This window comes from Homo sapiens, chromosome X (genome assembly GCF_000001405.40).
Source record: "Homo sapiens chromosome X, GRCh38.p14 Primary Assembly".
Taxonomy (NCBI): domain Eukaryota; kingdom Metazoa; phylum Chordata; class Mammalia; order Primates; family Hominidae; genus Homo; species Homo sapiens.
The window spans coordinates 111,292,594-111,307,558 of record NC_000023.11 but is presented as its reverse complement, the minus strand read 5'-3'; the positions used below and the strand labels follow the sequence as shown (position 1 = coordinate 111,307,558).

The following is a 14,965-nucleotide window of genomic DNA, read 5'->3' as shown; positions in this document are numbered from 1 at the left end:
AAAAGGGAAGTTAAATGGAAAATGTAGGCCTAGAATCTAAGTCTCCAGACTCTTAGTCCTGTGCTTTTTATATTACAGTGTTGTTTCATCATATGCAAGTTTAACTTAATGGAATTCATCAATAGTCATAACATAGTAATAGAGCGAACAACTATAAAACCTTCTCTTACATTTGTACACATCATTACATCCTGAATATCACTACATACATATATATACACGTGTATATATGGTATATATCATATATATACACGTGTATATATATATGTATATATCATATATATTAATATATGTACAGCATATTGCTGTGTACGGCTGCATATTCAGAAATCACATAAACAGTACTTAATTGTCAATATAAAGGATTTTCAAAGGTACTTAAAAAAATAACAGCTTATTGAGATATAATTCACATAGTATAGAATTCACTCCTTTTAAAGGGTATAGTTTGGTGGTTTTTAAGGTAATTTAGTATACCACTATCTACTTTTAGGACATATTCATCACCCTCAAAATAAACCCCTTACCCATTAGCAGTCGCAGCCCCTTCCCTTTTCATCCAACCCCTGGCAACCAACCACTAATCAATTCTGTTTCTATGGGATAGCATATTTGAAACATTTCATATACATTTCCCTCTGAAAACTGCTTTAGCTGAATCCTATAAGTTTTGGTGTGTTGTGATTTCATTTTCCTTTATCTCAAGGTATTTTGTGATTTTTCCTGTGATTTCTTTTTTGGTTAGTCATCTGTGCGTTGTTTAATTTCAACATATATATGAATTTCCTGAATATCTTTCCATTATTGTTTCTAATTTAATTCCACTGTGGCCAAATAATATAATTTGTATCATTTAAATCCCTCTAAATTTATTGAGAATTGTTTTATGGCCTAGCATATGATCTATCCTGGAGGATGTTCCATGGGAGCTTGAAAAGAATATGTATTCTGCTCTCGTTGGATAGAATATTCCATAGATGTGTATTTGTTTATAGTATTATTCAAGTCCTCTATTTACTTGTTGGTCTTCTGTCTAGTTGTTCTATCCATTATTGAAAGTGGGATATTTAAGTCTTCACCTAATATAGTTGAATTGTTTGTTTCTCCTTTCAATTCCATCAGTTTTTGCTTCATGTATTTTGGTACTCTGTTAAGATATATAAATATTTGTATTTATGTTTTCTGGATATATTGACTCTTTTTATCATTATAAAATGTTCTTTGTCTCTAGTAATAATTTTTGTCTTAAAGTCTATTTTTTTTCTGACATCAGTATAGCAATTTTAGCTCTCTTTAGTTACTGATTGCATGGCAAATCTTTTTCCATCATTTTACTTTCAACATATTTGTGGGTTTGAATCTAAATTGTTTCTCTTTTAGACAGCATTGAGTTGGATCATGTTTTTAAAAAATCTATTTTGCCAGTCTCTGCCTTTAATTGGATTGCTTTATCTACTTATGTTTAATGTAATTACTGGTAAAGCGAGAATTACATCTACCATTTTGCGATTTTCTATATATGTTATATCATTTTTCGTTCATTACTTGATGCTTGCCTTTTATGTGTTAAATATATTTCTTAGTGCACTATTTTAATTCACTTGTTGTATTTTTACTAATTTCATTTTGAGTAGCTTTTTTAGTGGTTGCCCTGAGGATTACAATTTACATTTTAATACACTCTACTTAAGATTAATACAAACTTGATTTAAATTATATATAAAAATTTTGCCATAGCATAGCTCTGTTTCTTTCCCACTCCTTTTTTCTCCTACTGACATACAAATTACATCTTTATACATAGTAAGTCCATCAACACATTCTTATAATTACTAGTTCATCTAGTTCATGTAGTTGTCTTTTGAAATAAGCCAGACACAGAAAGAAAAATATTGTATAATCTCACATATATGAGGGATCTAAAAAAAAAAAAAAAAGGTCAAATATACAGAGATGGAGAATAACACAGAGGTTACCAGAAGCCGGGGATAGAAAGGGAAGAAATGAGGAGATGTAGGTTACAGGATACAAAATAACAGATATGTAGGATGAACATCTAGAGATCTAATATAAAATATGAGGACTATAGGTAATAAAATTGTATTAGGGAGTAAGTAGATTTTAGCTGCTCTTGTCAGCAAAAAAGTAATTATTTGTTTCACTATAGTAACTATTTTACTATCTATATGTATCCCATAACATTATGTTGCAAACTTCAAATATACACAGTAAAATTTATTTTTAAAAAAGAAGAAAAGAGTTACAAAAATAAATTTGTACAGTCTTTTGTGTTTACTTACGCATTTACTATTTTTTTTAATTATGTGGATTTGAATTACTTTCTAGTGTCCTTTAATTTCTCTGTGGATGATTCTCTTTAGTATTCTTTTGCAAGACAGGTCTGCTAGCAATGGATTCTGTGTTTCTATCAGGGAATGTTTTAATTTCTCCTTTATTTGTGATGATAATTTTGAATGAATAGGATAGTTTTGTTTGCTTACCTTAAATGCCTTGATCCAGTAAGACTCCCAGCCTTTGCCGAGGGGCTCTGTTCCTGTGTTGGGACATGATTTCAATGCTCTGCCAGGCAGTTTACAACTCCATCTTAGCATTCTCTTGCCGCTTGCACAGGGCCTCAGGGTCAGTCAATGGGGAAAGATTAGGGCCATCTCGCTTCTTTTCTAAGAATATACCCAGTCCTGAACTTGTGCCTGACCTTCTAGATTCCCAGGAATATGTCTGAGCTTTTCAAAGATCCTTATAGGCACATAATTCTATGACTTTTTCCTTTCAAGGTTTTCAGCAGCTTGATTTGCTCCAACTTTTGCCCTCTTCCTCATACGGCTGTGATTTTTAAACAATTGCAACTGATCAATGCCCCCTGAAAAGGCTGTTCACAGCGAGTGTGCTCTGAGTCAGGTTAAAAAAAGAAGAACCTAGCAAATGGGAGTTTCCAGGGAGCTACCCCACAGGTCAAAGATTGACAATTCTCTGGGAATGAGTTCTTTGGGGAGCTCCAAACCCCCAATTGTGTCCTCCAGTAACTACTAGATTGCTGTTTTTCACCGGTACAGTAGTTGTGACTGTTGGTTTTCAAGGCTACCATGGAGCTGGGGAGAGGAAAAATGGAAATAAGGCAAGTTGAAACACCAAAAATCTTAGTATTTTTACAAGATTCATCAGTTTTTCTTCAACACTGTTTGGATTGTTGCAAGCTTTTGGTTGATTTTTAGAGTCCTGAAAAAGTTAATTTTGACAGTTTTGCCAGTGTTACTGCATTTGTTGAGGAACAGATTTTCAGAGGGGCTTATGCCACCTTTCTGGAAGTCCAGAGCTCAAAAATACTTTTGACTATGTTCACTTTACTCCAGTACTTCAGAATTAATCCCTTCAGAGATGCAACTCCATTGTATGCCACTTTGCTTCAATTCCATTTTACATGTATTTGTTGCATTTCTAGTATTTCCTTGGCATTGTACATCCTACCTGTTTATCAGTTTTCTAAGAAACTTTTGTTTGGTAGTTTAGAACAGGGATGCCAGATCCTGCCTGTGTCTTGGTTATATTTGCATGGATGACCCACCCCATCTAAAATATGTTTTTTTAAATATTTAAAGAGTTGTAAAAGAGCAAACCCCAAACAAATAATGAAGAATGTGTGACAGAGACCATATGTGACCAGCAAAGAAAACTTAAAATATTTACTATCTAATCTTTTACAGAAAATTTTGCTAATCCCTGACTTACAGTGAAGGGATGGTAGGTTGACGAGAACTGAGTCTATTTGCTGTAGTTGCCTTTGTTTTGTTTCTTAATCATTCAATATCCCTTTAGGACCCCCAAATTATAGTCTCAGAGCTGGAAGAAACCTTACAGATTGTTCACTGATAAAGAAACCAATACTCAAAGATTTGTTCAATGTCATAGCATTAATTAGCCAGAGTTAAACCTCGGGTTTCTGAATATGCTTTACTCGTCTTTCCATTCTAAGGTGCCTACAGGTTTTCCTGTCACTTCTTTCTCAGCAAAAAGCATTTTCAATGTTAGATAAATTCCCAATGTTAAATAAATAAGTCCTTCTCCTCCCCACTCTTGTCCCTCTTTCTCATTTCCACTTTTTTCTCTACCTCAAGGAGAAGCTATGTTCTCCAATTTTCTTGAACAATCTTCTACTGAAGTTCTTGTCCTTATGATACAAAAGCAGTGGCAAGGCGGTGGGGGTGGGGGTGCTCTTAAGTGGCCACAGAATTGATTCTATACTTTCCAGTTCTCTTTGGTATCTTACTGATAACATGTATAAAAAATTAGCCAGGCGTGGTGGTGGGCGCCTGTAATCCCAGCTACTCGGGAGGCTGAGGTAGGAGAATCACTTGAGCCCAGGAGGCGGAGGTTGCAGTGAGTGGAGATCACACCACTGCACTCCAGCCTGGGTGACAGAGAGGGACTCTGTCAAAAAAAAAAAAAAAGTTTCTTAACCTAGACCTCATATCATATGCAAAAATTAAAAATGGATTATAAGCAAAGAATTCTTAGACTTGACAACAAAAGTAAAATCCATAAAATAAAAACTGATAAATTGGGTAAATTGGATCTCAAAAATTAAAAATGTTTGCTCTGCCAAAGACCATGCAAAAGCTGTGAAGGTGTGTAAAAAGACAAGATACAGACTGGGAGAAAATATTTGCAACCCAATATCTAATTAAAGGCTTATTTAGAGAATATAAAATAACTGTTAAAACTTACCAGTAAGAAAAAAATCTAATTCAGAAATGAATAAAATCATGAAGAAACATTTAATTGAGGAAGAAATACAGATGAAAACTAAGCACATGAAAAGATGTTAAACATCATTAGCCATCATGGTAATGCAAATTATAACCACAATGAGATGTCACTACAAATCCACAAGAATGGCTAAAATGAAAAATAATAAAAACATCAAATACTGGAGAGAATGTGGAGAAACCAAACTACTAATACTTTGCTGGCAGGAGGTGAGACTGTAAATGGTATAGCCACACTGGAAAGCAATATGGCATTCCTTACAAAACTGAAAATGGAATTACCATATGACTCAGCAATTTTACTCCTGGGTGTCTGTCCCAGAGAAATGAAAATGTATGATCACACAAAAACTTGTACAGTACAGGAGCGTTTATGGCAGCTTTATTTGCAATAGCCCAAAACTTGAATCATTCAACGTGTGCTTCAACAGGTGAATGGCTAAACAAACTGTGGTGCATCTACACCAGCAATATAAAGAAGCAAACTATTGATACATATAATGGCTTACATGAGTCTCCGGGGAATTATGCTGAATGAAAATGGCCAATCCCAAATGGTTATATACTGTATGGTTTCATTCATATAACATTGTTGAAATTCCAAAATTACAGAGACAGGAAACAGATTATTTGTTGCCAGGGCTCAGGGAAGAGGGGAGGGTTGGATGGAGCTCTAATGGGGTAGCACAAGGGAGCCTTGTGTTGAAGGTACAGTTCTGTATCTTGACTGTGGCGATGGTCACACAAATATACACACATGATAAAATTGCATAGGAATATACACACACACACATACACACCCCACACACAAATGATCACATGTTAAACTGCAAGATGGTACCATTAGGGAAAATTGAATGAAGGGTACATTGGTACAAGGGTACCTCCCTGTACATTTTTTCAACTTCCTGTGAATCTATAATTATTATGTTGTAAAAATTAAAGTATTAATAAAAAAAACTAAAGCAGACATTCCAGAGCTCAAGATATCAAGAAAAGGAAAATTAACTTTGTCTCTTCTCTTCTTATAGGACCTGTACCTGCCTCTGTCCTTGGATGACTCGGACTCGCTTGGTGATTCCATGTAAAGGAGGGGAGAGTGCTCAGAGTCCAGAGTACAAATCCAAGCCTATCATTGTAGTAGGGTACTTCTGCTCAAGTGTCCAACAGGGCTATTGGTGCTTTCAAGTTTTTATTTTGTTGTTGTTGTTATTTTGAAAAACACATTGTAATATGTTGGGTTTATTTTCCTGTGATTTCTCCTCTGGGCCACTGATCCACAGTTACCAATTATGAGAGATAGATTGATAACCATCCTTTGGGGCAGCATTCCAGGGATGCAAAATGTGCTAGTCCATGACCTTTCAATGGAAAGCTTAGGTGCCTGCGTTATATTTGCCCTGTCTAATTTTGCCCATACAGTCTTCCTTCTGTAGAGGGCTGTTTACATATACAGCACTTAAAATGTTTGTGTGGGAAAAAAAAAACTCATTGGCAGATCCAAGAATGACAAACACAAGTGCCCCTTTTCTCTGGATCTCAAGAATGGTGGAGGACCCTGGAAGGACAGCAAGGCAGCTCCCCAGCCTCACTCTTCACTCCTGATTGAGGCCCGGGTTTGTTGTCCAGCACCAATTCTGGCTGTCAATGGGGAGAAATAAACCAACAACTTATAATTGTGACACCAGATGCTTAGGATCCTGGTGCTGGGTTAGCTAAGAGAATAGACAGAATTGGAAAATACTGCAGACATTTCCGAAGAGTTTATAAAGCACAGTGAATTCCTGGTCAATCTCTCCACTGAGGCAATTTGGAATCAATAAGCAATTGATAATAGTTTGGAGTAAGGGACTTCATATACCTGATTCCTCTAGAAGGCTGTCTAACATACCACATGATTACATGAACTGTATGGTATCCATCTATCTCTGTTCTATTGAATGCCTTGTTAACAGCCAACACTGAAAACACTGTGAGAATTTGTTTTCAGGTCTGACACCTTTCAGTCTCTTTTTATAGCAAGAAATCAATATCCTTTTTATAAAAATTCATGTCTGTATTTCAGGAGCAAACTCTTCAGGCTCCTTTTTTATAAACTGGTGATTTTTCTTTTGTCTAAAAAACACATGAAGAAAATTTACCAAAAAAAAAAAAAAAAGCAGAAGAATAATGTAGTTTAGAAATTATGCTGTCACTGCCAAACAGTAACCTCCAGGAGAAAACAAGATGAATAGCAGAGGCCAATTCAATAGAATCAGTTTTTTGATAGCTTTTTAACAGTTATGCTTGCATTAATAATTTCAATGTGGACCAGACATTCTAATTATATTTTAAATGAAATGTTACAGCATATTTTAAGCAACTCTTTTTATCTATAATCCTAATATTTCATACTGAAGACACAGAAATCTTTCACTTGTCTTTAACATTAGAAAGGATTTCTCTTTACTAAGGACTGATCATTTGAAATAGTTTTCAGTCTTTTGAGATACAGGTTTATAACACTGCTTTTTTTTTTCTGTAATCATAGCCCATAATGGCAAAGACAACTAAATTTAAGTGAAGGTCATGCATGCCAATTCTGTGTTTGCTTTTAGCAGATATGAAGATTTCCTTATTTCTTTGTAATTGTGCAGATATTTTGAAAGGCACAGCATTCGAAGCCAAGCTGCTGTTTGGCTACTGAATGGCTTGCAGTTGTTCCTCCACTCTAAATGGAATGAGCTTGCTGTGTGTGTGTGTGGTGGTGGTGGGAGGGGGTGGTGCATGTGTGTGTGTGTGTGTGCATCTGCAGCTGCTTCAAAATTAGGAAATACTACAGGACACCCCTGTAATGGATTGGTGGCAACTGGGTGGCACTGCTGATGTGCACTGTGTAGGGGGGAACCCAGTGGTGGTGGGGTAGCTCAGATGCCCCTAGACAAGCTTCAGATGTCTGTAGCTACCAGAAACATTTTCGGTTCAGGAAAAGTGAGATGATGGTAGTACTGGTTTCTGGTGAAATTGAAGAACCCCAAATGATGAGGATCTCTTTTTGCCCCCTCTCCTTTTTTTGTAGACCCATTCAAAACCATTAATAAGCCCATTTTACTAAGCCCCTATTTCTTTCTAGAAGCTCAGGGTTTTCTTAGTGCCTCCCAGAACATTTTGTAGTTAATTGGGAAAAAGTGATACTTGGATTAGGGGGTGTGGGCATAAAGAATGGTGGGAGGCCTGATTTTAAACTTCAGGCCAGAACCCCCAATGACTCCACCCATAGTCTCACTTTAGGTCTCATTTAGTCCATCACCTTTATTTTAAGTTGAGGAAGTGGAGGCTGGTAAAGAGCAGGACCAGAGGAAGAATCCAGATTTCCTTATGCTTGGGCCTCACACTAGCTCTCTGAGTATTTCCTTGATTGCGGTATATGTACTACTAGAAAATACCAAATGGATATATTTTCTTTAGGATAACCTTTGAACCAACAATCTTCAATAACAATAGTACATCTTCCATCTTACTTTTAATCGAGTATAAGGAAATGTTTCTTTATGGCCATTTTGGAGGGAGCAGGGGATGAGGCTTGGCATAGTCCAAAATTTAAGTCTCCAATAATTAATTGCATTTTAAATTGGCCCACTTTCAAGGCAATTTTTTTTGTGTGTCTGTAACTGAGCTCCTCCACCCCTGTCATTCACTTCCAATTTTACCCAATCCAATTTTAGCACTCAAGTTCCATTGTGTTAATTTCTGCACGGTCAACAAACATCAAGTCAGCAAGCATTTGCCACCACTCCCTATACTTCTCCCTCCTTCTTACACACACACACACACACACACACACAATCCATCTCTTGCTTGTTCCTACCTCCTGATTTTTCTTCCCTACAGAAATAGAAATAGGGACAAAGAAGGGGAAAATGTATATATTGGGGCTGGGCTGAACAACTAACTTCATAAGTAGTATTAACTAGGGGTAAATTGAGAGAAAAGCTCCTTTTCTCTTCACTGTTTTGGAAAGGATAGCCATTAGCATGACTGCTTTGTGTCCTTATGGACTTTAGTATTAGCCTAGATTGAATTATAGCGTTTTCTAGCTGGAAGGAACCTTAAGATCACATCATCTACTCCTCTACTCCAAATTTCTCATTCTTCAGGCCAGGAAACCGAGACACAGAGGTAAAGTAATTTCCCCAAGGTCACACAGCTGGCTGGGGCAGGATTGGGTTTACAACCCACATCTCCTGGCTCTTATTCCAGGGCCTTTTCCCACTAAGTAGTATTGCCTTCCATTAGGCTCCTGAGAGTTATTTCTCAGGGTCATGTTGCATCTTGGAGCCACATGCTGCTGCCCTGATCTCAGTGGGAAATCCACCCAGCAACCTAATACAGCCCCTTTTCCCTGCATTCACCTGGTTCCCATCCACATGGGTTGCAGATGTCCTTGAAGAGAGTGAGGCATTGAGGGCCAATAGGAGCAATGGGGTCCCTGGCCTTGTCCATCTGATTCAGGAGATCACTGCTCCATCGTGAGGAGCCCTCTGAATAGCCCCCCACTGAATGCTTGCCTTGCCCAAATGGAATGGAGGAAGATTGATTTTCTCCATCAGTTCACCTTGTGTCATCTCATAATGGTTGGTCTTTCCAGGCTGAGGGAAATGTTTCTTGTTTCCAGAGTAGAAAAAGAAAGAGTGGAACAATAGCTTTGTTCATCCTAACTTTCTGAGATGGCTTTTCAACATTTTAAAAAAACTAGTGTGGCTACCATTCACTGGCAATGATTTCTTTTAGAATATGGGAGTAAGATGAGCTAGAGAAAATAACCTGGTCTCACTGTGGTTGCCCTCATCCACAATGTCCCCAAAGCCATCCTGCTCTGATGAGGACAATTTCCAGGTATAAGCAAGGGGCTTTGTGACAAAAATGTACCCTGGCTGATGTTAAACATTGGCTCCTGTGTTTGCACCAAAATAGCAAGCTGTGTGCTCTATACACTCTTCCCATCGTCTTGTGTACACTGCTCCTGTGGCCTTCCACAGCAGAAACCAGGGCAAAAGGGTCCAAACACATGGTTTTCCTTGCTGCAAGGCTCTTCCTGGGAACTAAGGGGGTATTTATTAGTTCAGTTCTAAGAGACCTCCTTCTGGGCTTACCCCACTCCTCAGGTACTTCTCTCTCCTTCCTCCTTCTCCTCCACAGTCACAAGTAACCAAGGAACCTGAAAGTGGATGTGTAGCTATTTGAAGAAGGCAAGGAACCCTGAGATTCTTCTTTGAATCCTCTAGTCCAAGTCTTAGACCAGTGATTGGTGCTTACCTTGAACAAAATTTTGTCTGTGTTCCTAATCCCTTCAATACTCTGGGTACAATGCTCCCAATCACCCTGCACATTTGATTCTAAATGGCTTTTATTTTTTAAAAATCCATATCCCTAGGACAAGAGAACAGGATGCCTATATCCCCAAAATGAGCTCCAGGACACTGATGGGAATGATCCCAAAGATCACCCCACCTCAGAAACGTCTGTGCCAAGAGACTTCCCCAGATAGAAACACTGGGACAGTGGTTTGAACGACTTCTTTTATGGTTGTCCAGTTTGCTATGGAAATAAAAGGCATTGATTTTTTAAAAAGATGATTGGAACCTGTCTTTGGCCACATAGGGCCACTTGGATCCATTTCCAGGCCTTACTCATATATTGCCTTCACTGAAGGGCTTTGGCTTTAAGTCCCAGACTGGTCTCCCAAGTGAACCATAAGTGTTTTGGAGCTCATCTGGGGTGAGGCATGAGAATGTTGCCCCATCTATCCCTTCAGGAAAAGGTGCCTTCCCTCCCTTTCTCCTAAAGCCTGGTCCCCAGAAATTGTTTTTGTCTCCAAAAGTCTAGTATGGTCTTTATACACCCAGACTCTTAGTGTTGCGTCCTGCCTTGTTTCCTTGTTAAGGATCTATGCAGACCTCCCGCTTTGGCTTAGCTAGCGTGACATTGGCTATCATTTGACAAGACTAACTTTTTTTTTTTTTTTTTTTTGACTGAGTCTCCCTCTGTCACCTAGGCTGGAGTGCAGTGGCACAATCTTGGCTCGCTGCAACCTTCACCCTTCACCTCCCAGGTCGAAGCGATTCTCCTGCCTCAGTCTCCCGAGTAGCTGGGATTACAGGCGTGCGCCACCAAATCTGGCTATTTTTTTATTATTATTATTTTTAGTAGAGATGGGGTTTCACCATGTTGGCCAGACTGGTCTTGAACTCTTGGCCTCAAATTATCTGCCCACCTCGGCCTCCCAAAGTGCTGGGATTACAGGCATGAGCCACCATGCCCAGCTGACAAGACTAATTTTTTATCCCTTGGTTTATTGGCTTCAACATCTTCTGGAATCAGAGGTGATTTTTTCTTACCTTGGATGCCTGAGACTAGGGGAGTATAGAATTCCAATTGGTAATTAAGGCATCTTTCTGCTCCTGATCAGAAGGGCAGGTTAGTTGGGAGAGGTCAGATGGCACAACAGAAGTCACCTTGTAAGTAAGGCAAAGACTTGAAGGCATTAGCGTTTCTCATTACTAGGTCAATAACCTGAGGGAATCAATGGCTTTTTGCCGCTCTACCTCTTGTGTATCTCTTTGACTTTTCTTTCTCTGTCTAGTTTCCTCTGTTCTCAGTTTATATTCTATGTTATCAGTCTCTCTTTCCACAGTACAAACATCCATCCTTTCTCCTGTGCAATTCTGTCTCTCCCTCTTATTATCTTTATTTGTACTTTTTCCTTCCTCCCTGTCTAGGCATTGGGCATGTGCCTCTTCTTAGCCTGTGATTTTGCCTTGGGACTGATGATAAATTATTTCCAGATTCAATCAGCCCTGGTCCTACCCCAGTCCAATCAGAAGTATGTTGGTGGGAATCAACCTGATCCTGGCCCTTTCTTCTTCTCCATTTTCATTCGTAATCCCCCTCAGCAGATCTTTACAAGCAGTTTCCTTATAGCTCATGTATCTTTAGGTCTTTGCCTTCCAAGCACTGTACAGAATACTTTGTGGTTCCTTTTTAGTCTGACATTTTGTGGAGCAGTGAAGCGTGCTCAGAGACATAATCAGCTGAAGAGAAAAAATCCACCCATGGATTTATATCAGCTAAATACTAATAATTGATTTTGTTTGATGTGCCCATAATTTTTAAAGCTGCAATATAATATAATGAGGGACCACAGGTAATTTCTCCTGTCATTTGTTTTGGCTGGATGGGGGTGGGGGAGTAATTGCTTAAAGTTTTACCATTACACATTAAACTCTCTATAATAATCTTGTTTGGGGCTTGCTAACTGTTGAGCTGTTTTAACTAAACTGGTAGGCAATCGGAGTTGATTTAAATGAAAAGATAATTTAACAAATCTATACTATAAAAAGAGACATTTGCTTAATTGACATGTATTTTTTCCTTCTGAGTCACCTAAACATTTACTCTTGACACCAACTGTTCATGATACTGAATAGACAGTCCATATAAGAGAAATTAGTGGACCTAAAGAAGCCAGATTGTAGGTGTTAATTTATTAAACAGAGTGCAAAGCCCTTGGAAATGTCACTGCTTGGCAATACCATATGGAATGCCAAAATTTACAATGACTTTTCTTTATAAGTTATCCAAAAGGGATTTGAACAAGTAAGAGGTTATGCCAAAATGTCTCCAATGTATGGTCCTGTAATATATTGCAGCTTGAAGCCAATGATCCCTTATGACTTGTATACAACTAATGCATGTTTTATTGAATTTTGCATTTCCCACGTGTGGTAAGTTCTTTAAAATGTTTTTGATCACCTTTTTGTGCCATTAAACTTGTACAGAAAATGTTTTTATGGCCATTTTCAAAGGGAGAAAGTTTAAAATGGAAACAGCCCACCCTTTCTGCCCTATAGCTGTAGTTAGAATTGAGTACCTGTAGCAAAACAGCTGTAATTGGTGGTTGTAGTGTTAGAGGTGTTAGCTTGCTAGTGACTAGCTTTGGAGAGTAAATGCATGGTATTGTACATCACATTTCTTAACTCGTTTTAACCTCTGAAAAGAATATATTCTTCTTTGTAGTCCTTCTTCCCACCCCCTTGCCCTCTCCCTCTCCCTGCTCCCAGTTGTCTTACAGTTGTAAATATCTGATTTGAGGCCCAATAACTCTTGCCAAGTAAAGTCAGCAAACAACAAACAAACCAAAATGTGGGGAAAAGGCATTTCTCAACCATCTCTCAGCAGTTATTGATCATTTCTTAAGGAACAGCATTGTGATCAAAGACTCAACTTTACGTAAAAATCAGTGGTAAATTGGGGTTGTATTTGGCCATTTGATTACATTTCAGGATTGAATAGTTTTCAGAATCACATGTAATCCAAAGACAGTAGGTAGTGATGTCCCTTATCCCTGCAGCTGTTTTAAGATAGAGACCTCAGAAGACTCTGCTTGACCGATGACCAATAATTATTTGAAAAAAAAAGAAAAAATGAGAGAAATAAAACAGATATTTAAGAACTTTAGCCACCTATTTAGAATAGTTATAGCCAGAAAAAAAAACAAGGGCATGAGTTCAAATGCATTACTATCAGTGTCCTAGGCAATACCTAACCTACTCTGAAATTGTGATTCAAAAGCAGTATTTCAAGAGGCATTCTCCTTTTTTGGTTTGCTGACCCCACTTGGACTGGTAGGTTTGGTGAGGCCCCCATAAACCAGCTGGAGCAGACCCTTTTCATCTCCTGTGCCTGTAACACCCCTCTTCCCCCACCCCCTCCGCAATTCAATGAGGGCTTTCTTGGGTCAGAGGACTTCAAGGTTGTCTAGAGAAGTTTGCCATGTGTGTAAGGTGCTGTGAACTGTGAGTGCTGAAGATTCGCAGCATTCAATACCAGGCAGCCAAAGAGCTGCTCTTGCAATTATTTTGGCTCTCAAGCTCTGTTCTTCATCGCATTCTCATTTCTGTGTACATTTGCAAGATGTGTGTAATGTCATTTTCCAAAAATAAAATTTGATTTCAATATTTCTGGCTGACATTCTTTTAAAAACAAAAACAAAAACAAAAAACACTGAACCAATAATCATATAACCTCAAAATGTCCAAGCTGGCAGGGAACTTAGATATTATTTTTTCCAACCTCTTAATTTTATAGAAGAAGAAGCTGAGAGTAAATGTATGATAGAAACACCATAATTATTGGTACAGCACATTTACAAAAAATAAGATCTCAGATCTCCCCCCAGAGTTGAGCAGGAATAAAGTGACCTCCTTTTATGCATAAGATGCTTTGGCCAATGTCAGCCTGTGTCATCAGGTGGTGACTTCTAGTACCATGTTTTCAGAAGCCCAAGAAACACTCCATGCCCCCCAAAATACCTCTACCTGCTGCTTGCAATTTCTTTTACAGTGTGGCTATTCTTCTTCAATAGGCTGATGGTGCAGCTACTCTCTGTGAGAGGAAACACGGAGATATCTTATTTACCCTCAGACGTAAATGACTGATGACATAGTTTTCTCAGATCAGGTTTTAATGGGATAAAGAACACAAAGCACTGGGCTTGGGAAGAGGTTGATGGAGAGGGAAAGAGAAAAGGACGTAGAAAACAGGAGGCTGAGGCCAGGCATGGTGGCTCACACCTGTAATCCCAGCACTTTGGGAGGCCAAGGCGAGCAGATCACCTGAGGTCAGGAGTTCGAGACCAGCCTGGCCATCATGGTGAAACCCCGTCTCTACTAAAAATACCAAAATTAGCTGGGTGTGGTGGTGCACACCTGTAATCCCAGCTACTTGGGAGGCTGAAGCAGGAGAATCACTTGAACCTGGGAGGCGGAGGTTGCAGTGAGCCGAGACGGTGCCACTGCCCTCCAGCCTGGGTGACAGAGCGAGACTCCATCTCAAAACAAACAAACAAACAAACAAACAAACACAGGAGGCTGAGATTCTAGGAAACAGTTTGACCAACATCACAGTTATGTGAGGCCAACTCTGCAGCTCCCAGCTGACCCGTGTTCAGAGAAGCAACGATGCCAGCTTCCCCTAGGCACTCCCAAGGACCAAGATGATTATGAATTCTTCATCTAAGCAGTATTTTACCACCTGGCTCCATGACCATCACTCTGGTGGAGACAAAGAAAGTAGATGGAAATGGGACTTCTTGGTGTTTCTAATCCAAAGAAAAGTTGGATACAACAATCAGACTGGCTAGG

The 14,965-nt window shown here is 38.8% G+C and overlaps 1 protein-coding gene across 11 annotated transcripts in view; it reads left to right on the top strand.

The window, feature by feature from the left end:
* Window positions 1-13,780, top strand: part of DCX (doublecortin) — a 118,414-nt gene extending 104,634 nt beyond the window's left edge. For all 11 annotated transcript variants that reach the window (NM_001369373.1, NM_178153.3, NM_001369372.1 and 8 more), the window contains one exon: window positions 5,816-13,780. In NM_001369373.1, coding sequence (NP_001356302.1) covers window positions 5,816-5,844 — 29 coding nt within the window. In that variant the 3' untranslated portion in view covers window positions 5,845-13,780. The remainder of the gene's footprint in view (window positions 1-5,815) is intronic.